This window comes from Homo sapiens, chromosome 4 (assembly GCF_000001405.40).
Source record: "Homo sapiens chromosome 4, GRCh38.p14 Primary Assembly".
Classification (NCBI taxonomy): domain Eukaryota; kingdom Metazoa; phylum Chordata; class Mammalia; order Primates; family Hominidae; genus Homo; species Homo sapiens.
Genome location: NC_000004.12, coordinates 118,791,664 through 118,814,682, shown reverse-complemented (window position 1 = coordinate 118,814,682; position 23,019 = coordinate 118,791,664). Strand labels below are relative to the sequence as shown.

General features: G+C 40.9%; 1 protein-coding gene across 2 annotated transcripts in view; it reads left to right on the top strand.

The window, feature by feature from the left end:
* The window catches only part of SEC24D (SEC24 homolog D, COPII component), a 113,304-nt gene that overhangs the window by 21,444 nt on the left and 68,841 nt on the right, over positions 1–23,019 (top strand). For both annotated transcript variants that reach the window (NM_014822.4, NM_001318066.2), the window contains exons 7-8: positions 8,729–8,840; positions 16,873–17,000. In NM_014822.4, coding sequence (NP_055637.2) covers positions 8,729–8,840; positions 16,873–17,000 — 240 coding nt within the window. The remainder of the gene's footprint in view (positions 1–8,728; positions 8,841–16,872; positions 17,001–23,019) is intronic.

The window sequence follows — 23,019 nt, the reverse complement described above, 5'->3', positions numbered from 1 at the left end:
TATTTTAGATAACTAAAGGATCCTTTTCAATAAGAGAAACCCATAGAGACTGAAAGTATATTTTACATCTTGCACAATAAAAAAACAAATTTTTTTTAATGTAAAGTTAGAACTAAACTCTTCACTCAAGTGATTTCTTTGGAGGGTTACTCTTTAATAATTTTATCAGTCAAGCTTTGCAAGGCCATTCTGCATAGCAAACAATCCCCAACTTTGCTTACAACTGCAAAGATGTATTTATCACTCAGTTTACATGTAGGCTGTGGCAGCTGCAGATTGGATTTAGGCTCTGCTTCATCCGTCCTTATCATTCCAAAATCCAGCGTGAAGAGGCAAACACTACTGAGGACATGCTATTTTGTGGCATAGGGAGGAAACAGAGCTGGCCAAAATGTGCAACAGCTCTTAAAGCTTCCACTCATGTGTGGCATGTGTCATAACCACTCATGTGCCCTTGGCTGAAGCAAGTCATAAAACAAAGCCCAATGTCACTGAGACAGGGAAGCTGCCAATCTTATGGCATTGGGATGTAAAATCCTTTTGGAATAATAACGAAATTGGCTACAGTTTATTTTGTGTCTTTGAATAGGTTCGATAAACATAAGTACTTGAAGAATTAGAAATAAAGGAGCAGGAAAAGCTACCATATTAGCTAACTTATGCTGTGTAACCAACTGCTACAAAACAGTAGCTTAGCACTACTGTTTATTAATACTCATGACCCAGTGGGTTCCCGGTTTTTCTAATCTGGGCCAGGTTCATCTGATTTTGGCTGAGCTTGCTCATGCATCTGGGGTCAGCTGGAGGCTTGGCTAGAGTGTGGATGGTTTAGGATAATGTATTAGTTTCCTGTGGCTGCTGTAACAAATTACCACAAATCAGGTGACTAAAAACAACAGAAATGTATTCTCTCACAGTTCTGGGGACCAAAAGTCCAAAATCAATATGTTGGCAAGTGCTGTGGTTTGAACATTTGTCTTCTCCAAAACTCATGTTGAAACTTAATCTCCAGTGTGGCAGTGTTGAGAGATGATTGGGTCGTAAGGGCTCTGCCCTTGTGAATGGATTAATCCGTTCATGGATTAGTGGGTTAATGGATTAATAGGTTATCATGGGAGTGGAACTGGTGGCCTTATAAGAAGAAGAAAAGAGACCTGAGCTAGCACGCTCAGCCCCTTTGCCATGTCATGCTCTGTGCCGCTTTGGGATTCTGCAGAGTCTCCACCAGAAGAAGGCTGTCACCACATGTGGCCCCTCAACCTGGGACGTCTTAGCCTCCATAGCTATAAGAAATAAATGTCTTTTCTTTATAAATTACTGTTTCAGGTGTTATAAGCAATGAAAAACGGACTAAGCAGGGCTGTGCTGCCCCTGAAGGCTGTAGAGGAGAATCTGTTCCTAGGCTCTTTCAGCTTCTGGTGGCTCCAGGTCTTCCTTGGCTTGTGACCATGTGACTCCAGTCTCTGCTTCTGTGGTCACATTGAGTCCTCCTTCTCTTTGTGTCTTCTTCTCTGGGTGTCTGTCTCAAAATTCCTCTGCCTCTTTCTTATACATGTGATTCCATTCAGGGCCAGGATAAGCTCCTCCTCTGAAGATCCTTAACTTAATAAAATTATTTTGCCATATGAGGTAATGAAATGGAAAAGGTTCCCTCGTGCCCCTTGGAGGGCATGCAGTGGGGGTGTGGCTCGCTTCTTCAGTGCTCCAAAGCTCAAATCTCTAGGGGAGGATACAGATGGGCAGGCTGTGGGGCTCCGACTCCCATGGCAGTGTCTAGGGGTGAATGTTTACAGCTGAAGTCCCAGTGGGCGTGTGTTACAGGGTGCTCTTTTAGTTTGCCGTCTATAGGTGACTTGTATTAACCAGCTCAATTAGACCCCTTCCTTATCACAAGGACAGAGGGATTTCTGTATCCCAGGTTTTTGCCTTGCTGTACTGGAAGAATTGGATCACACATGGGCTTGGAGAATGAGTGCAAGGTTTTATTGAGTAGAAGTAGCTCTCAGCAGGTGGGGGAGCCAGAGGGAGATGATTTTCCTCTGGAGTCCCACCACTCAGTGGCCCTGGGTCTCCGACTGCCCCGGCCAAACTCCGCCTCTTCCCATGTCTGTCAGTGTGCTCTTCCACTGGCATTCTCCCTCCACGTCCTCTCGCTGTCCAGCTGCTTGTATCTTTATCCGCTGATGTGCTCCTCTCCACGTCTGGCTGCCTTTGTGTCTCCCCACTAGGAACTCAGGTTTTTATAGGCCCAGGATGGGGGTATGGCGGGCCAGGGTGGTTTTGGAAAATGCAACATTTGGGCACGGAAGGATGAGTGCCTGTCCTCACCTAGGTCCATGGGGGTAGAGCCCTAACCAGGGACCCACCTTTCTCTACCCAGCACTTCCCTGCCCGCCTCCCATATCAGTAATATTCACAGATTTCAGAGATTAGGACATGGACATATCTTTCTGAGGGCCACCACTCTGCCCATCATAGATAGTGTCAATTGTGTGTCTTGTGTTTGGTACCCATCTGTTGATGAGGAATGACCAGGCCACATTGTCAAGTACGGTATACTGGGTTTGTTCATGGGGTGGCAGACATCCAAAAGGGAAGGTAGGAGTGTACGTGGCCTTTTGAAGCTTAGGCTTGGAACTGGCACATCGCTACTTCTGCTACATTTTCTTGGCCAAAGCAAGTCCCAAGACTGCCTCAGATTCAAAAATGGACTTTGCCTCTTGATGGGAGGAGGGGCAAGGCAACATTGAAAAGAGCATTGATACAGGGAAGTGTAGATAATTTTGGCTATTTTTGTAATCTGTCACTTATTCTATATTTGAATTTAAAGTTGAAGATTTGTAATACTGTATACTGCTGTAAGATGTTAGAAATTAAATTTTGACAATTCTTAGTGCCTTTATTGATAATCATATTGCCAGTCATTACTTTTATGGCTTAAAAGAAAGAAGGAGGGAGATTTATTTTAAGTAATGGTTTTACTTCATTATGGGGACTGAATGGGAAAGTTAGGACAGCAGGCTGGAGACCCAGGGAAGAGTTGATATTGCAGCTCAAGTCTAAAGGCATCTGGAAGCAGAATTTTCCTCTTTCTCAGGGAACCTTTTTCTCCTAAGGCTGTCCGCTGATTAGATTAAGCCCAGCCACATTATGGAAAGTAATCTGCTTTACTCAAAGCCTGCCTGTTTAAATGTTAATTAGATCTTAAAAAATACTTTTAAAATACTTTCATAGCACCATTTAGACTTAGACTGGTGTTTGTCCCAAAAATGGCCTAGCCAAGTTGACACATAAAATTAACTGTCACATCCCCTTTCTCTTGCATCATCTGCACTTCTTTGAAAACGAACTTAAATTTTTCTGTGTCTAGATCATTCTCGTCAGAATATAAATATCCTATGATGCCTCCCATCATTAATAAAAGAAGCTTTCCTTGGCCTCTCCCCAAACCTGGATTCAGTTTCCACCCATCTCCTGGCTTTCTTTTAAAGCAAGAAATCTCCCAAAGAGTTGCCTATATCTGCTGTTTTCACTTAATCTCCTCCCACTCTCTCCTGATCCTATTCCAGTTTAGATTTCATCACCACAACCCCACAATACTGTGCTAGTCCAATTACCAATGACTTCCTGTTACCAAATCTAATGGTCAATTCTCAGCTTTCATGTGATTTGACATCAGCAGCAATTTGACACATCTGTTTACTCCGTTCTCCTTGAAATGAAACTTTTACATTTTGCTTCTGGGATTCCACCCATTTGCTTATATCTCTGCCTACCCCACTGGAGGCTGTGTCTCCTTTGTTAATGTCTCCTCATCTCTCTGACTACCTAGTGTTAGAAGTGTCCTAAGGCTTAGTCTTTGGACCTTTCCAAAGACTTAGTCTTAGTCTTTGGACCTTTCCTTTCTCCATTGGCATTTACTCTCTGGATAACACTTCTCAAAATGTGCTCGCAGGACAGCACCATCAGCATCATCTGGGAGCTTATTAAAAATTCATGTTCTCAGGCCTCAGCCCAAACCTACAGAATCAGAATCTCTAAGGCTAAGGCCCTGGAATCTGTGTTTCAACAAGCTCTTCAGATGATTCCTAGGCACACTAAAGTGTGCAAAGCACCACTCTAGGTAATTCCATCTATTTTCGTGGCTTTGAATGAGAATGCAGATATTCCTAGTAAAGACCTTTTCCCTGAAATCCAGATCCAATTCCATTCTTCTGGCTCCTCAGGCCAAAAACCTGGGGATCATCTCTGATTCTTCCTTTCTTGCACATCTCATATTTAGTTCTTTAGCTAATTCTCTTGGTCCTACCTTGTCTATTCATCCTGTTCCAAGCCTCTACTATCTACCTACCTAGGTTTTTATAAGAGCCTCCTAATTGGTCTCCCTGCCCTTTCAGTCTGCACAGAGCAGCCAGAGTCATCCATTCAAATTCTAAGTCAGATCATGTCATGGCTACGGAAACCAATACTCTAAAAACCAAAGTTCTTACAATAGTCTGCAGGACCCTACATTATTTGCCACCCCTGGCTCCCCTATACCCTCTGACACACACACACACACACACACACACACACACACACACACACACACACACACACACACACACAGCTACCTCTGACCTGGTCTCTTACCACTCTTCTCCACCCACTTTGACCAGCAACACCAGCCTCTTTGTTGTTCCTTGGCAGGCCAAGCATGGTCCTGCCTCAAGGCCTTTGCCTTTATTCTGCTTAGATGCTCTTCCCCTAGATGTATGCAGGGCACAGCTCATGTCCTCATTTCCTTAATGTCCTCATTGCTCATCCTCAGTCTCCCTGGCACCCCATCCATACCACTCCATATCCACAGCACTGAATTACTGCCTGATGTTGGATGTGTTATTTGTACATTTGTTTACTTATTGCCTGTCTTCCACACAAGAATGTCCACTCCATGATGGTTTTGTTCACTGCTGTGTCTCTAACACTTAGAACACAGCCTGATACATAGTATATGTCCACATATTCCTTGAATGGATGAATGAATGAATGGGCAACAAAAGCAAGAAGGAGTAGATGCTGTGACTCATCCAGGACCCTTATAATACATACAGACAAATCAGTCCAGTATTTATTTTTATCTTAAAACTAATGATATAGTGATGGTCAGATGGAGCCTGTTTGTATTCCTATTACCAAAGGAACATACTTTTGCTAACAAAATAAATTTTTCCTTCTGGAAAGAAAGATGTAAAGTCACATTTACTGAGCTTCTGCTATACCCCAGTCCTGAGCGAGGTGCTTATTATAACCCTTTTGGTGGTGGTTTTAAACAAATTTTGAAAGTAAGGAAATGTATCATCATCAAAACTCTTCCTCCCTCCTTTTCTGTGTCCATAAGAGGATTATTCAGAAGTTGGGTGCTTTCTGTAGGCTGGGTGAGGTGGCTCACACCTGTAATCCCAGCACTTTGGGAGGCTGAGGCGGGCGGATCACGAGGTCAGGAGATCGAGACCATCCTGGCTAACATGGTGAAACCCCGTCTCTACTAAAAATACAAAATATAGCCGGGCGTGGTAGTGCATGCCTGTAGTCCCAGCTACTCGGGAGGCTGAGGCAGGAGAATGGCATGAACCTGGGAGGCAGAGCTTGCAGGGAGCCAAGATCGTGCCACTGCACTCCAGCCTGGGCGACAGAGCAAGACTCTGTCTCAAAAAAAAAAAAGAAGTTGGGTGCTTTCTACTCCACTTTATCTTACCACTCCAAAATTCACATGATCTTGCTAAGCAGCCTTTCTTGCATGGCACACACGTCTTCTTGTTTTTCCCTTATCCTTGTTCATTTATCTCAAGATAATCACTTTCTTTTTTTCTCTTTTCCAATTCTGTTTTATGAACCCAGAATGTTCCACTCATAGCAGATAAATATAATCGTAATTCTAGCAGCACATCTTCTGAAGGAAAAATAAATCTATACCTTTTGAAGTAGTTTTGGAATTATCAAGGATCACTGTCATTAAATCTAAACCCTTCAGGTACCAAGTCACAGTCAAAATTGCTATTGAAGCTTCTTTATCTCTAAGCCTGTTTTTCAAGAACATGCATTTGAGGTAAATAAAAAAGGTATAGTATTTTTTAGCAATTATCAGAACGACTTTAATCTCCCATTCTTTTCTTTGTAGTATTCCATCCAAGATGTGAATTAATTTAGAAATGTAATTACTACTGATAACACTGTTTCTTTGGAGGCAGGGCTTTGTAAATTGCAAATGGATAATTTAAAAATAAACTTTTTGGAAATTCAGTCTATTGAAGACTATATTCAATATGTTCTGTATATTATGCACACTAATACATTATCATGGCTTTTACCTCACTTTCATATTTGACTCTTTGTTGGTTGAAATGATTGCAATAAATATTGATAATATAAAAATGACTCTAAGCCAGGTGCAGTGGTTCATGCCTGTAATCCCAGCACTTTTGGTGGCTAAGGTAGGAGGAAAGCTTGAGCCCAAGAATTTGAGACAAGCCTGGTCAACAAAGTTAGACCCCATCTCTACAAAAAATTTAAAAATTAACTGGGCATAGTGGTGCACACCTGTAGTCCCAGTTACTTGGGAGGCTGAGGCAAGAGATGGCTTGAGCCCAGGAGATTGAGGCTGCAGTGAACCCCCTTCACACCACTGCACTCCAGCCTGGGCATCAGAGCAAGACCCTGTCTCAAAGAGATAAAAAACAACTCTATTTTTAATGAATCCGATTAACCTTGTGGTCAAAATACAGAATATAATTACAGTGTTTCGATTTCTCTGCTTTTTGTCTCTGCTCATGGTAGCTTTAGTCTTATCTGTGTCTGACAGCAGTTATGTTTGGAGCCATTTTATATTTTAATCTAATAACAATTCACATCCTATGAAATTAGGAGGGAAGACCTGTAGACTTAAAGGCAGGCTAAATCTGTCATCAACATTTCATAAAACCAGTGTTGTCAGTACCAGCTGGGGGCTGGAGTGGATGGAATGGGAGGGAAGAGTAGAGAAAGCAACATTTCAGAGTTTGGCAGAAGGCAATTTTCATATTATTAATGGTTTTAAGAATATTAAAAACTGCACCCTTGGTGTCGTTTGGACACACTATTCCAGTCTGGACACACTTCCTGTTTCTCCATTTTTTTTTTTTCCTCTTCTTACACCCTCTCCATTTTTTTTTCCTTTTATTCCTCCTTGTTTCTCTTATGAAGAAAGAAGTGAGGGAAGGGAGAAGAGAAAGAGGAACATAATTATTAGGATTCTTTCTTGTTCTCTTTTTAACTCCACACTACTAGATTTTGCTCATAATTTTCACCCCTACACAATTAGAACAGAAAGATATTTTGTATCTCTTATGTTCTTCATCAATAACAATTGTTTTTAGTAGAGAAATATCAGATGTTTCCACATTAGATGACAGAACTTAAGAGACTTTTGCTGCTGTTGACTTCTCTGCAGCGGGCAAAAACCACATGGGATTGCTTTATACCATTTGTGTCTTACATCTCAAGGAACCAGGGATGCAGTTGGGGAAACTTGAAAAGCAAATTGAAGATCAAAAGACATTTGAGGAGAAAGTTAAGGTTTTTATAGGTTGTATATTATAAATCATTTCTTCTGAGATAATTTTTAGCCTTTTAGAAGTTTCTTTTATTTGAAAGAGTATTTCCTTTATTTATTTATTTTGAGATAGGCTCTTGCTCTGTTGCCCAGGCTGGAATGCAGTGTCACGATCATAGCTTATTGCAGCCTTGAACTCCTGAGCTTAAGCAATCCTCCTACCTCAGCCTCCAGAGTAGCTGGGACTACAGTCAGGTGCCACCATGCCTGGCTAATTTTTTAAACCTTTTTAGTAAAGATGAGGCCTCACTCTGTTGCCCAGGCTATTCTTGAACTCCTGAGCTGAAGTGGTCCTCCCGCCTCGGACTCCCAAAGTGCTGGGATTACAGACATGAGCCATTGTGCCAGGCCAGTATTTCCTTTAAATCGTTGTTTTCAATTTCTTTTCTTACCAGATTTTTTTTTTTTTAAGAAAATGCTGGCCAGGTGCAGTGGCTCACACCTGTAACACCAACACTTTGAGAGGCCAAGGCAGGAGGATTGCTTGCACCCAGGAGTTTGAGACCAGCCTGGGCAACATAGGGAGAGGAGACCCTGTCTCTACAAAAAGATGAAGAAAAAGAAAATTAGCCAGGTGTGGTGGCACCCACCTGTGGTCCCAGCTACTCGGAATGGCTTGAGTCAGGGAGGTGAAGGCTGCAGTGAGCTATGATTGCGGCACAGCACTCCAGCCTTGGTGACAGAGTGAGACCCCCATCTCAAAAAATGAAAAAAAATAAATAAATAAAAAAGAAAGAAAATGCTTACCTATGTTCTAATAAACAAATTGGATAAAAATAAAGTTCTCTGAAGGGTCACGTTGTCAGATTTGAAGCTAAAGAATTACAAAATAGAATTGGAAACTACTATTCTAAAATTGTAACCATTTTAACTGAAGACATGGTAGGTTTTTCCATGACAATTTGATCTGAAATGAACAGAAAGGATTTAGAAAATGCCAGTTTGTGTGAGTGTGTGAGACTGTGTGTGCATCTCTGTGTGTGTGAATATTGAGAAGGAGGGGAAAAGGAGGGAGGAGAGAGCAAGGGTACTCTCTAAATGGAATGTTGGGAAGAACTGGAACCTACTTTAACGGGCTCTTGATGTCTTATTTATCAGATCCAGGTGATTGAGAATGATAGAGCCAGCAGAGGAGGACAAGTTTATGCCACCAACACCAGAGGCCAGATCCCTCCCCTGGTCACTACAGATTGCATGATACAAGACCAAGGTATTTGTTTTTAATTATGCCATTTATTAAGGTTTTAAAATTTCTCACCGTTTTTAAAGCAAATACACTGACACCCTTCAATAATGCTCTTAATAATGGAAAACCCCATTATAGCTGATAATCAGTTCTCTGTTAATCCCTCAAGTACCAAGAGGATGCTATCAACTGAATTTTATTCTGTGCGTATGGAAGTCTGGAGAGTTCCAGTGAGGTACAGAGCAATATATCTGCTTAAAACAATTATTTATTTTAATTTATGGGTTTAAATTAGTTTATACCCTACTTTGGTTTAATTTATTCACTATGTTGGAAAGCTGGCACGAGCAGAGCAGTAAGGAATTAGACTGTTTGAGATGTTAGCAGACCTGGTTCTAGCCCCAACAATATTTTCTAAGCAGATATTTTTAACATTTTGGGTTCTGTTTTCCCACATTTAAACTGGAAAGAGGAGAAGCTGAGCTGCATCTCTGCTGTTCCATACCTCTCAGCTCAAGAATATATTACCCTATTGTTGATGACAAGTTAAGAATATAGCCCGATGAAATCTGATGTCTGAGATTCTGAATATACCATTTTAATGGATCATGTACTCAATCCTAGAAGCATAACATCAGTATACAAACAAGCATTTTGTCTCATCCCAGAGTTGTTGAGCTAGCCAAGTTCTAGTTGGGGATCCTCTCTCTATCCTCTGTGCCACCTTCAGAGCTAACCTTATAGAGTGGGTAGCACAGTGAGGTAGAAAGAGACTTGATTGGGAGAATTCAGACTCCACTCCTTACTGCCCAAGTGAGCTTTGTCCATTTCACCTCTCTCTCTCAACCTCAGCATCACCCTCAGTAATATGTGGAGACTAAGACCGGCTCTGCAGAGCCAGTGTAAGAATTAGAGGTGACTGTGTACATGAGTCTTTGTATATGTGTGTGTGTGTGTGTGTGTGTGTGTGTGTGTGTGTGTATGCATGCATACACATAAGTATGCTTATATGTGTATAGAGGGCTCAATACACAGAAGGGTTTCATGTAAATTATAGGTGTTGTAGATACTAATATTAAAAAAATTCAGATGACTTCATTTATTATTCTAAAAATAATTTTTCCTTCTCGGCCTTTTGGCTAAGATCAAGTGTAAAAATAATTTGTTTCTTCCTCATTACTTAGAACTCATTCCAACTAGTTAGATGAGTTCATATTTGTAAAGGATTTAGGGCTTGGTAGATAATAGGTTGAGGTATATGAAATTGTTGATTTTTTTTTTCTATCACTGTGACCTATAAAAGGTGGCAATTTCATTTCAACCTAATGATAAGTATTATATAAGTGTTTTAATATCTATTTATTTAATATTTAAAATAAATATAAAACAATATTGGGGCTTTTTTCAACCTAAAGAATATTCCTGACCAGCCTCATCTCCCACCTGTTTCTTGCTTTACAATTGCCTTCATATACCAATCTCATCGTCTTTCTCCTCATGCCTCTGATTCTCACATTGTACTGTTTTCTCTGCAACAGCCTGAGGATGGTTTTTTGTTGTATCCTTAGAAATTCACCTGGTATCTAGAACATACTAGTTGACCAATAAATATTTATCGGACACATGTACTTGGAATGTATGACTCTCAGCCCTTTAATTGGGAAACATTTAGTTCTTCTAAACTCAATTTAAATTTTCTTTTTCAAGTCTTCTCCAGTGTCTTTTCCCATAATGCTTCATATATATTTCACCCGTATCACATTAAATTTTATTGTGGTTTAGATAGGTCTCTCCCACAAATCTTGGAGCTATCTGGGATCAGAATTCCACTTGTTCAGAACTTCACTCATTCATGCATACATCCAGAAAATGTTTATTCAGTACCTATTATGTGCCAGGCCTCTATGCTAAACCTGAGGTTAATAATATAATAAAAATATACAAATTAACATTATTATTATAGCTAATAATTGCAAGTACTTAGTATGTATCAAGACAATTTTCTAACCACTTTATATGGAATAATTTAATCCCCCTGTAATGTTACGAGATAGGCATTAATATCATTCTCATATTACAGAGTGGAAAACTGAGGCACAGAATGCTTAGGTAATTTACCTAAGAAATGTAGCTAGTAGGAGGCAAAGCTAGAATTTGAACTCAAGCATTCTGATGCAAGTGCCTGTGTTCTTAACTTCACTGCCTCTATTCAGAAATAAAAGACACAGCTCTTTTTTTAAATGAGTGAACAATCTGGCAAGGAAAAAGATAACTAAATATTAATTCAGTGAGATAAATGTTATATTAGAAAGATAAAACACATGTTGCCATGGGAACTTAAATGTGAGGTCACCAACCAGATAACTGACCCAGCCTGTCTTGCCCAAGTTGGGGACACCCAAACTGTGTCTTCAGTGAGCAAGTGTAACCCACAAGACTAGGGAGATGGGGGAGGGGAGGGTTGCCAGGCAGAGGAGGTGAATGTGCTGAAGTACGGTAGTGGGAGAGAGCATAATACATGTCAAGTAACAGCATGTGCATAGCTTTTTGTTTTTTGAGGGACTTGTGGGTAGTTTTTAAATTGTGGTCAAATCTATATATATAACATAAAATTTATTATTTTAACCATTTTTAAGTATACAATTCAGTGGCCTTAATTACATTCACAATGTTGTGCAACCAAATCATTCTTATTACCTGTTTCTAGAACTGTAAAAAAAATCATCCCACACTGAAACTCTGTACCCATTAAACAATAACTCCCCATTCTTCCACCCCACCCAGCCCCTGGTAGACTCTGTTCTACGTTCTGTCTCTATGAGTTTGCCTACTCTAGGCTCCTCATTTGAGAGAATCATACAATATTTGCCCTTTTCTGTCTGGTTTATTTTACTTAGTATAATATTTTCAAGGTTCATCTACCTTGTAGCGTATATCAGAATTTCATTCCTTTTTAAGGCTACGTAACTTTCCGTCTTTTATACATACTGCATTTTGTTTTCCATTCATCTGTTGAAGGACATTTGAGTTGTTTCTACCTTTTGGCTCTTGTGAGTAATGCTGCTGTGGATATTTACGTACAAGTATCTATGCGAGCCCCTGCTTTCACTTCTTTGGAGTATATACTGTACCTAAAAGTGAAATTGCTGGATCGTATAGTATGGAAAGAGTATGAAGGAAGGAGTGGGTGAGCAGGCAGGACTAGTAAGGTGGCAGGGTCTCAGTCATCGTTCTCTCTCCTTAGCCTGCAGCCTAGCCCTTGGCAAGAAGAGAGAGCTGCCCTGGTATGGAGCCCCAAAGTTGGCCCAGTCATACCCTTTTGCTATGAAGCCCCTTTGTCTGACCTGGCTTATTTGCCAATAGTAATAAGCTTTTTAGGATGTAGCTCAAGATTCTCAGACTTGTACAGAAATTCACAGACATAAGTACAATATAGAGCTGGAAGGAACCTTGGACTTTATTTGCTCAGCTCTCTCACTTTACAGATGTAAGGATAAGGCCCAGGGAGGTTAAGTGGCTTGACCAAGGCCATACAGCTGGTTAGGATCAGAGCCAACAAAGAAAAGTTTAAAATATTCTTAAACTTTAAAATATTATTCCTTTGCCTTTGGCTCCAGGATCTTATTTTAAGATTCCACTTGTCCTTTGGTTCCCATCCTTTAAGACCCTGTTCAAGCACCTCATCCTTCGTGTGGTCAATTCTGGTCCAAGTGACAGAGTCATTGTCTCCCTTCTTCTGTTTCTTAATCTATTTGCTCTTCTGTGATGCTTACCATGCTATGTTGCAATGATCTATTTTTACTGTCACTCTTTCCAACTAGATTGTGAAGCCAGAGACTTTACTGTATTCTGTTTCTAAGCCCTTTCCTGGAGCTTTGCTTAGTAAATGTTTGTGGAATGAATTTATTGAATGTTTTCAGTAAAATTATCACATAATGCTCTTTATTAAGCATCTCAAAAAGTTTCAAATCTTAGTTCCTGTGGTTGCTAAATTATCCACGGTAGCCAGACCTTTTATGCCCCACTGTTGTATACCTGTTTATAGAAACAAATTCTCAATTGCTTTTTCAAATTTTATTATTTGTGCACATTATCTTCCTATACGAAGCATTTGTTTAGTCACCTTTAGAGCTCATTCATTTATGCATATTTCACTGTCAAAAAATAAACCCTTTAAAGGTAACAAATATCCAGCTTCAATATTTTATTGGTAATTTTAACGAGTATAATTGAGTGCAATGGAAAATTAAAATAAACTTTCAAATACTTTTAAAATTCTTAGTTCATGGTCTGTATAACGTTGTGTAATGATGATAATAAGGAAAGTTTTGTTTAAATATGAAACAAACACTATTAAGCATTCAAGCATACTTACATATATTAATATTACCTAAGAGTTCCTTTACTTGTATTCCTGCTGCCAAAAGTCTGGTTTCCTCCTCTGTTACTGCTTACCTGGGCTCTTAAAGCAATGGACCAGTTTACCTGTCTGTATTCTTTTTCTGTTCCTAGAAGCTATCTAACTTTGGGCAGACTGATTTTCTTCAATTACTTAATTGATCATTTTACCCTTGCCAAAAAAAGTTCGATTTTTTTTTTTTTTTTGAGATGGAGTCTTGCTCTGTCGCCCAGGCTGGAGTACAGTGGCGCGATCTCAGCTCACTGCAAGCTCCGCCTCCCAGGTTCACGCCATTCTCCTGCCTCAGCCTCCCGAGTAGCTGGGACTACAGGTGCCCGCCACCATGCCCGGCTGATTTTTTTGTATTTTTAATAGAGACGGGGTTTCACCGTGTTAGCCAAGATGGTCTCAATCTCCTGACCTTGTGATCCACCCGTCTCGGCCTTCCAAAGTGCTGGGATTACAGGCGTGAGCCACCGTGACTGGCCTTTTTTTAACCCTGACTAAAAAAATGTCACGGTTGCCCATGGGCAGACAGGGTTGGTCTCAACTCCTCATCCAGCATTCCAGGCCTTGACAACCTGGACTCAATTTTTCTGGGATGTTGTAGAAATTTATAATTGGTTCTAATGCCACTTTTGCCACTTACTAACTCTTTGACTTTTGGAAAGTCGCATAACCTCCCGGTGTCTCAGTTTCCTCCTCAGTAAAGTAGATTATAAATATATTAATCCATAGAGTTATTGTGGGGCTAAATGAGTTTACACGTAACAGTCTTAGAATGATGTCTAGCGCATTGGCTGCTGTTATTATTATCACCCTTGTTGTTAGTACTGTGTCTTCCCCTTCTCTCAGATGCTCTGCAGAGCAGCTCAAGGACTGGATTCAGCCTGCAGTCATGTTAATTTGTCCTACACAGTAATTTCTTCTGTTTCTATTTGAATTAATTGTCATTATTTAAAAATCAGAATACATTATATAAAAATCCGGATTTCCAGTTTGTCCTAAAAACTGTGAAATCTGGCACTAGTAGCTTGGAAATGAACAGAATAAAAGCTTTTTTAAGTCCAACCTCCCGTTCATTTCAGGTCTGCATCTGTGCAGCAAAACATGGCCAGAGAGAGGCTCACAACCCCGCCACAATCGCTGTTTAAGCTCAGGACCATAAACTTCCCAACATACTGTATTTCTCAAGTCTTTTCACTTTTCCACTCTCCTTAGTGACTATTTCATACTTTTTCAAACCTGCAGCACCTTCTCTCGCATCTTTCTTTTAGCTGCTTTACATCCTCCTTTCAGAAAGGAAATTCCATGCACCCCACCACCACGTGGACCCCCAGTCTCAGCGCATCCTCCCACTGTGCCCACCTGCATTTGGCCCTCAGTGAGCAATCTGTGCTCCAGTCGAAAGCCAGCCTCTCTCCCTGTGCACCACTCAAGTATATTTCCACAGTAAGTTTCCCCTCTTCCTCTTAAATCATCAGTATTTTTCTTTCTACAGAATGATTCCCATCTTTTTTTAAAAAAAACCTTCTCTCATCTTAAAATATAAAAATGTTTTCTTGATCCACTTCCCTTACCAGCTAGCACTCTTTTCTTTCCACCCCTCTACAGCAAAACTTAAAAGGACTATTGCCAATTCTTCTCCTTCTGTTATCTCTTAAACTCACTCTGAGCAGATTTTTCCCTAGCATTCCACCAAAACTGCCTCTTTAGGATCTCCAGCAGCACCATCTGGCACAGATGATCGTGCCTCCGCGTGATACACATCCTACACTTCACTTCAGGACGCTAGGCTCCTCGTTTCATCCTTCTCAGTCCTTTGGCTGCTTTCTCCTCCTCCTCTGACCTCCTTATCTTGGAGGACCCCAGGGCTCAGTACTTGGTCATCTTCTCTTCTTTGGCCATAATTATTCCCTTGGTGGTTTTAACCTGGTTTCATGGTTTCAAATACCATCTATATGCTAAGAATTCCCAAATGTGTATCTCCACCCCAGACTTTAGCCCAGTCTCCAGATGTACATATCTAATTGTCTACTCAGCATTGCTGTATGACTGTGTAATAGATTTCCCAAATTGGACATGTCCCTGACTAGATTCCTGATCTCTACCCGCACACCCGTTAAAACATCCCTTCCCTTTCTGCAGCCTTTACTTTGTCAGTTGGTGGCAATTTTATGCTTCTGGTTTCTCAGGCCAGCAATCTTAAGAGTCGTTCTTGACCATCACGCTCTCTCACACTCACATCTTCACACCTTATATGCCCTTAACAAATAAGTCACTGTACCTTTGAAATATATCCAGAATTTAGCCACATCTCAACACTTCTACTCCTGTCAGGCTGGTACTGCAGCAGCCTCCACATGGTCTCCCTGGTTCTACTCTTCCCCACTGCAATCCATTCTGAAAATGCAGGCAGAGGAACCTACATTACAGCATGACACTCCTCTGCTCTAAAGCCATCAGTGGCTCCCCATTTCATTGGGAGAAAAGCCAGAGGGCTTAAAATGGTCTCAAGAGTCTACCTCATCTGGCCTGTTGCTTCGCTGAACTCCACACCAGTTGGTGCCCCCCACAGTGGCTCCATTCCAGCTCCATGGGCCTCCTGCTGTCACTACTCCGGGCATGTCCTTCCCCAGATACCCACTAGGGTAAATCGCTTGCCTCCTATGACTCTTTGCTCAGATGTTACCTTTTAAATAAGGCCTACCTTGTAAGTATTTAAAATTGCAATCTGCCTGCCACTTCTTGGTACCCCTTCACTAGATATGCTTTTTTCACAGCATTTATCACCTTCTAATGTCCTATATAATTTACTTTTATTAGGCGTAATATTCATTGTCTGTGTCCTCTGCAAGAACATAAGCTCTGCAAGCACCTAGGACAGGGCCTGAAATGTCTTAGACATTCAGTGAACATTTGATTGATGATTACATTCTTTTAGTCATAATATTTTATTTCAAAATTTATCTTAGATAAGTTATTCTAGTGATACAAATATTCTTTATGTCATAGATATTGTTTTAACACTCGGATATGCCATGAAGTAAAGATATTTTGGTCAGGAAGCCTAACATCTATTAAAAATAGTTTAGGGTGTTTTTGAAAATAATATTTCTATTATAAGTAGAATTTTCATTTTGAAATTCAATTTCCAAATTTAGAAAAAAATAGTCAAATGGAATCATATTTGACAAAGTATCACTTGCTAATATGAAATAGTATACAAATGCTTACCTTTCCCATAAGCAGATAGAAGAGGATGAAGAAGAAATGATTGTGATTCAAAAGTTTTGTTCTGTCATATTTGTGTGTCTCTTTGTTTTATTTTTTCCATTGCATCTAAATGCCTCTCAAATATATAGTAAGGCTATATTAAGACTCTGCTTATGGAAAATAATAATAACTAAGATACTTCTTTTATATCTTTGCAGTAGGATTCAGAGTATTTTTATTTTGTAAGAAATTACAGTATGCCTAGAATATAGATTGTAGAATTGCACAATACTACTTTTTTAAAAAACAAATCATGAAGAGAGTTTTACAAATAAGAAATAATGCAATGCATTATCTAGAAGTACCTTTATAAATATTTGAATATCTTAGGGAAGGTTTTTTTCTAAACAAGTTTTAAGTGTATCCTTTTGAATGTTTCAGGAAATGCCAGTCCTCGATTCATCCGTTGTACAACATACTGTTTTCCATGCACGTCAGATATGGCTAAGCAAGCTCAGATTCCATTAGCTGCTGTCATCAAGCCCTTTGCCACCATTCCTTCAAATGAGGTAAGAATGATATATAATAGCAATTCAATAATTTATCAATTCCAAAATTACCATTTTCTCACAATTTTCTTATACATTATTCTATAATATAAACAGGAAACTGGAATATATTTTTATAATGCAAAACATCTAGTAATTGAATTCATCAGGAAAACAAATAATCCAGCAAGCTATGGTTTTTGGCATCCTGTACACCAAATACAGATGGACTGCGTCACTTTTTGGCGTATTGTAGTAATGCACACATACAGAAAATATAGAATGTCACACAGTAAAAGTATTGTGACTTGTCACAAGGCCCTGATACCCTAGTTTAGAGCCCTTACATTGTGGGTGTTCTGTTGAGGGAAGATGATAGATCCTATAGTCCTTGATCTATTAGAGCAGATCTTACTACATCTGCTTTAATTATCACTGGGCCAGGATACTCATCAACTCCTACTTAAAGATTAGAAAGTATGGGATAGATAAATCTGTATATATTGATTTGAAAATATGTGCTCAACATATAGTTGAGCGGGAAAAAAAGATAAGTGGTTTACATTGAAAATCTGCAGTGTCAGGATGCTGCCAGTGGGTATTTGATCTAGACTTCCAGGAACAACCCAATTCCAACCTACACTGCTGCCATTCCTTCTTTTGATGCCCCTGAGTGATGAATGCCCACATGCGCACAGAAACACAGGCACTATAGCAGAGCAAGTCACACAGGGGAAGAAAAGCTTGACTTCCAGCTGGAGCTGTGACCATAACCCATTGTAGTATCCAGGTAAGCTAGGCCGAACCACAGATTCCTCTTGCTGCACTAAAGGCCAGAGCCCCAGTATTCCCTCCCAGCATAAACCTCAGTGTTGGATCTAATGATCCTTTGAAGTAGGCTGATGTAATGTACACCTAGCAGCATCTAAGCAAGAGGCAGAGCATCTGCAAGAGCAAACAGATTCGTTCCCTTTCTTGGGCTCACCACACCAGCTGGTATGGAGAGTAAAGCAGTGTGAGGAAGGGGAGGAGGAAGCTATGGTGAGTGGGGCTTTATGTCCACTAAGGGAAAGAAGAGAGAAAAGAGAGATGTGTGATGTGTGCAGTAGCTTTCATGCCCTTTGGGATCTTCACTCACTGTCCTTATGAATGTAATGTAATGCTGCCAACACTTCCTTTTGGGAGCAGAGTGAACTGGCTTAGAGTAGGTCATGGGAGAGGCATTGAACTGTTGTTAGAAGCCAAACTTACGTGTGGTATGGTTTCGTATTTGCAAATCAAGATGTACATTCAGTATCTCCTTTACATATTTTAACCATAGTCTCTTCCATGATGGTTCTAGAAATTTAATATAATATTTATAAACACCTCATTAAACTCACTATGCTTAGTATGAATGAGGTAGACCAATATGTATTGACAGAGATGCCGCTATGTACAATGCATGCATTTTAAAGAAAAACTTAACTAGAAGTATTTTCAAAGCTATTTTCAACATTGTGTTTTGAAAATTTTCAAACATACAGAAAATCTAAAACGATTTCATAGTGAACACCTATATCCCTGCCACCTGGATATTACCATTAACATGTAACTACACTTGTTTTGTCACATATCATGATGTTCATCTGTCCATCAACCCATCTTTTTTATTCTGATCAATTTCAAAGTAAATTGCAGACATTTAGACACTTAATACTAAATACTAAATACTCCAGAATGCATATCATTAGGTAGTGTTCAAAATTTGCTTACGGATTATTTTCTCATTTGAGGCAAAATTCATTTACAATAAAATGTACATGTCTTAAGTGAACGTTTATTGAGTTTTGACAACTGTGTATACCTATGTAGCCGAGACACCTATCAAAACATAGAACATAATTGCCACCCCAGAAAGTTATCTCATGCCCTTTCCTAGGCGACCCCCACCCCTTCACATAACCTCCCTTCCCTGGCAGCCACAGTTGTGATTGTTTTCTGTGATAGATTTGTTTAGCCTATTCTAGGACTTCATGTAAATAGAATGATAAAGTATGCTCTATTTTGTACAAAGGTTCTCTTACTCAGCATAACGTTTTAAAGAGCCATTGTGATGTTGCATGTATCAACAGTCTGTTTCTTTTTTATTGCTGAATAGTGCAATTCATTGTATGAGCATACCGCCACACCTTGGCCTACTATAAGAGGTTTTAGGCTGGGCACGGTGGCTCACACCTGTAATCCCAGGACTTTGGAAGGCTGAGGCGGGTGAATCACCAGAGGTCAGGAGTTTGAGACCAGCCTGACCAATATGATGAAACCCCATCTCTACTAAAAATACAAAAATTAGCCCGGTATGGTGGTGTGTGCCTGTAGTCCCAGCTACTCGGGAGGCTGAGGCAGGAGAATTGCTTGAACCCAGGAGGTAGATGTTGCAGTGAGCCAAGATTATGTGATAATCTTGGCTCACAAGATTGGAGACAGAGGGAGACTCTGTCTCAAAAAAAAAAAAAAGTTTTTATGTGCTGACTTTGTATGCAGGTATCTATAACAATATGTAGTATTGGTCTTTTCTTTTGAAAGTCAATTACTGTACTTTTAAATAAGTAAAACATAAACAATCCAAAGATGAAAAGGGCATACAATGAAAAATAGGCCTCTGCCTACCTCTGCTTCCTCCCCTTTCATGTAGCCCTTACCTGTTCTTTGTGATTCCTTCTAGAAATAAAATATGCATATAACAATATATAACTATCTATCCTTCAAAAAAAAAGTATGTAAATGTAAATGATAGAATGGTACACACATTGTTCTATACTTTTTAAAATTAATATATCTGGTGCTGATTTTATATTATTTCCTACAGAGCTACCTCCTTTAAAACAGCGGGGTAATATATTAATATGAGAAATATTATAACTGTACATACAAAATCAATTTTGAGATGCATACTGTCAAAAATGTGAAACTTTTATGAATCCTAAAATTGAGGAAATGTATTGCCATCAGTGTGCCTACAAGAACCATCCCCACAGCTTTTCTCAGGGGGATGGGGTTGCTACACATGTGCAGCCTCTGACTTATTTGTTCCTTTGCTATCTGAACCTTATCAAAGAGATCTTTTATTTTCATAAACAGAAGATACTTCTACCTTGACGGAAACCTGCAGCATATATAAATAACAAAATATCATAGGAAGCAATTCTATTGTATATCAGTATTGTGGATACATAGGATTTATACACATGAATAATGTCAGTTTTGGCTGCACCTTGTTAATGGCAATGAGTTTGCATGGTTTTCAGTTATCTACTAGCAAAAACCCCCTCCTTGCCCCTTCCTCGTGATAAAGCTGACCTGGGTCAAATATGCATGAAATAGAACAAAACTCAGCAATTGTTCACACCCAAAACTAGAGTCTGGAACCTTCTTGTTATCATCATTTAGTATTAATTATTATAAAATTATTCACTAATGTCTTCTGGAAAATAAAACCTGGCATTTCAATGCTGTTGAAAAAAATCTTTCAAACATTAGTTTAAGCCTCCTAAAAAATGCATATACGCATTTTATACATAAATTGAGTGGGTATGGTTTCTATTTTCCAAAGTTGTTTGTTTTAACCAAATACTACCTACCCAGTAACATAGGATCTTTTAGTAAGGACTTGTGCTGCATTTTCATCTCTGTGCTTTCCAAAGTATTAAACAGGAGGTTAGAATGGTAGCTTATTTCTGGAATCTGACTTAGGGAGACGCTCTACTTGTGAAAATAACATACTCTATTCCTTTAATGTTGTTGGAGACTCTGAATACTGACTATGTAAATGTATTTGACAGTACTGTTTTCTCTACTCAGGCTCTCTCTACACAAAGCCCTTTCTTTTCCCCTAGACATTCAAGAATAGAATTACTCTGAATATATTTAAGAATTACTTCCCTTTATATAGCAGTGCTTCCTGGTTTGAATGAAGACACTCTCTATTTAAAGGAATACTTTTATTTTTATTTGTTGAAATAGACTTAGAAGTCAAAAAATAAGGACTGTGAAAGGGATGCTGCAACACCAGGAAGAAGTTCCTCAGGGGCATGTGCCCAAAAAATGTCTTCCTTTTTGGGCATGTAGCTGGACCTAAACTTGGAGAGCCACCAACATTAGGGAATTATTGCTGCTCTACTACACCAGCTAGCTAGATGCAAGTCTGTGTGCTACCAAGTGTTTGGGCCTTCTTTTTTTTTTTTTTTTTTTTTTTTTTGAGACGGAGTCTCGCTCTGTCGCCCAGGCTGGAGTGCAGTGGCGGGATCTCGGCTCACTGCAAGCTCCGCCTCCCGGGTTCACGCCATTCTCCTGCCTCAGCCTCCCAAGTAGCTGGGACTACAGGCGCCCGCCACTACGCCCGGCTAATTTTTTGTATTTTTAGTAGAGACGGGGTTTCACCGTTTTAGCCGGGATGGTCTCTATCTCCTGACCTCGTGATCCGCCCGCCTCGGCCTCCCAAAGTGCTGGGATTACAGGCGTGAGCCACCGCGCCCGGCCGGGCCTTCTTGACAGATTCTCCTCTTTTGGCTTCCATGACACCGTCCTGGTCTAATTTTTCCTACGTCACAGGCAGGGAACATTTAAGTTCCCTTTATTATTTTCCTGATCTCTAATTTGGAGGTTAGTCAAGGCTTGAACTTGGGATCTTCTTTCCACTCCCCTTAGATACCCTATCCCCTCCAAAAACTAAATATCATCTGTAACAGCTGCTGTTGCTACTGATGGGAATAATAACAGTCAAAATTTATAAAAAGCAAAATTATGTTTTTTTGTTTTGTTTTGTTTTTTAGTATTTATTGATCATTCTTGGGTGTTTCTCGGAGAGGGGGATTTGGCAGGGTCATAGGACAATAGTGGAGGGAAGGTCAGCAGATAAACATGTGAACAAAGGTCTCTGGTTTTCCTAGGCAGAGGGCCCTGCCGCCTTCCGCAGTCTTTGTGTCCCTGGGTACTTGAGATTAGGGAGTGGTGATGACTCTTAATGAGTATGCTGCCTTCAAGCATCTGTTTAACAAAGCACATCTTGCACCGCCCTTAATCCATTTAACACTTAGTGGACACAGCACATGTTTCAGAGAGCACGGGGTTGGGGATAAGGTTATAGATTAACAGCATCCCAAGGCAGAAGAATTTTTCTTAGTACAGAGCAAAATGGAGTCTCCTATGTCTACTTCTTTCTACACAGACACAGTAACAATCTGATCTCTCTTTCTTTTCCCCACATTTCCCCCTTTTCTGTTCGACAAAATCGCCATCGTCATTTAGGCCCGTTCTCAATGAGCTATTGGGTACACCTCCCAGAAGGGGTGGCGGCCGGGCAGAGGGGCTCCTCACTTCCTAGACAGGGTGGCCGGGCAGAGGCGCCCCCCCACCTCCCGGACGGGGCAGCTGGCCGGGCGGGGGCTGCCCCCCACCTCCCGGACGGGGCGGCTGCCGGGCGGAGGGTCTCCTTACTTCCCAGACGGGGCGGCCGGTCAGAGACGCTCCTCACCTCCCAGACGGGGTGGCGGCGGGGCAGAGACACTCCTCAGTTCCCAGACGGGGTCGCGGCCGGGCAGAGGCGCTCTTCACATCTCAGACGGGGCGGCGGGGCAGAGGCGCTCCCCACATCCCAGATGATGGGCGGCCAGGCAGAGACGCTCCTCACTTCCTAGACGGGATGAGGCCGGGAAGAGGCGCTTCTCACTTCCCAGACAATGGGCGGCCAGGCAGAGACGCTCCTCACTTCCTAGACGGGGTGGCGGTCGGGCAGAGGCTGCAAACTCAGCACTTTGGGAGGCCAGGGCAGGCGCCTGGGAGGTGGAGGTTGTAGCGAGCCAAGATCACGCCACTGCACTCCAGCCTGGGCAACATTGAGCGCTGAGTGAGCGAGACTCCGTCTGCAATCCCGGCACTTTGGGAGGCCGAGGCTGGCAGGTCACTCGCGGTCAGGAGCTGGAGACCAGCCCGGCCAGCACGGCGAAACCCCGTATCCACCAAAAAATACGAAAACCAGTCAGGCGTGGCGGCGCGTGCCTGC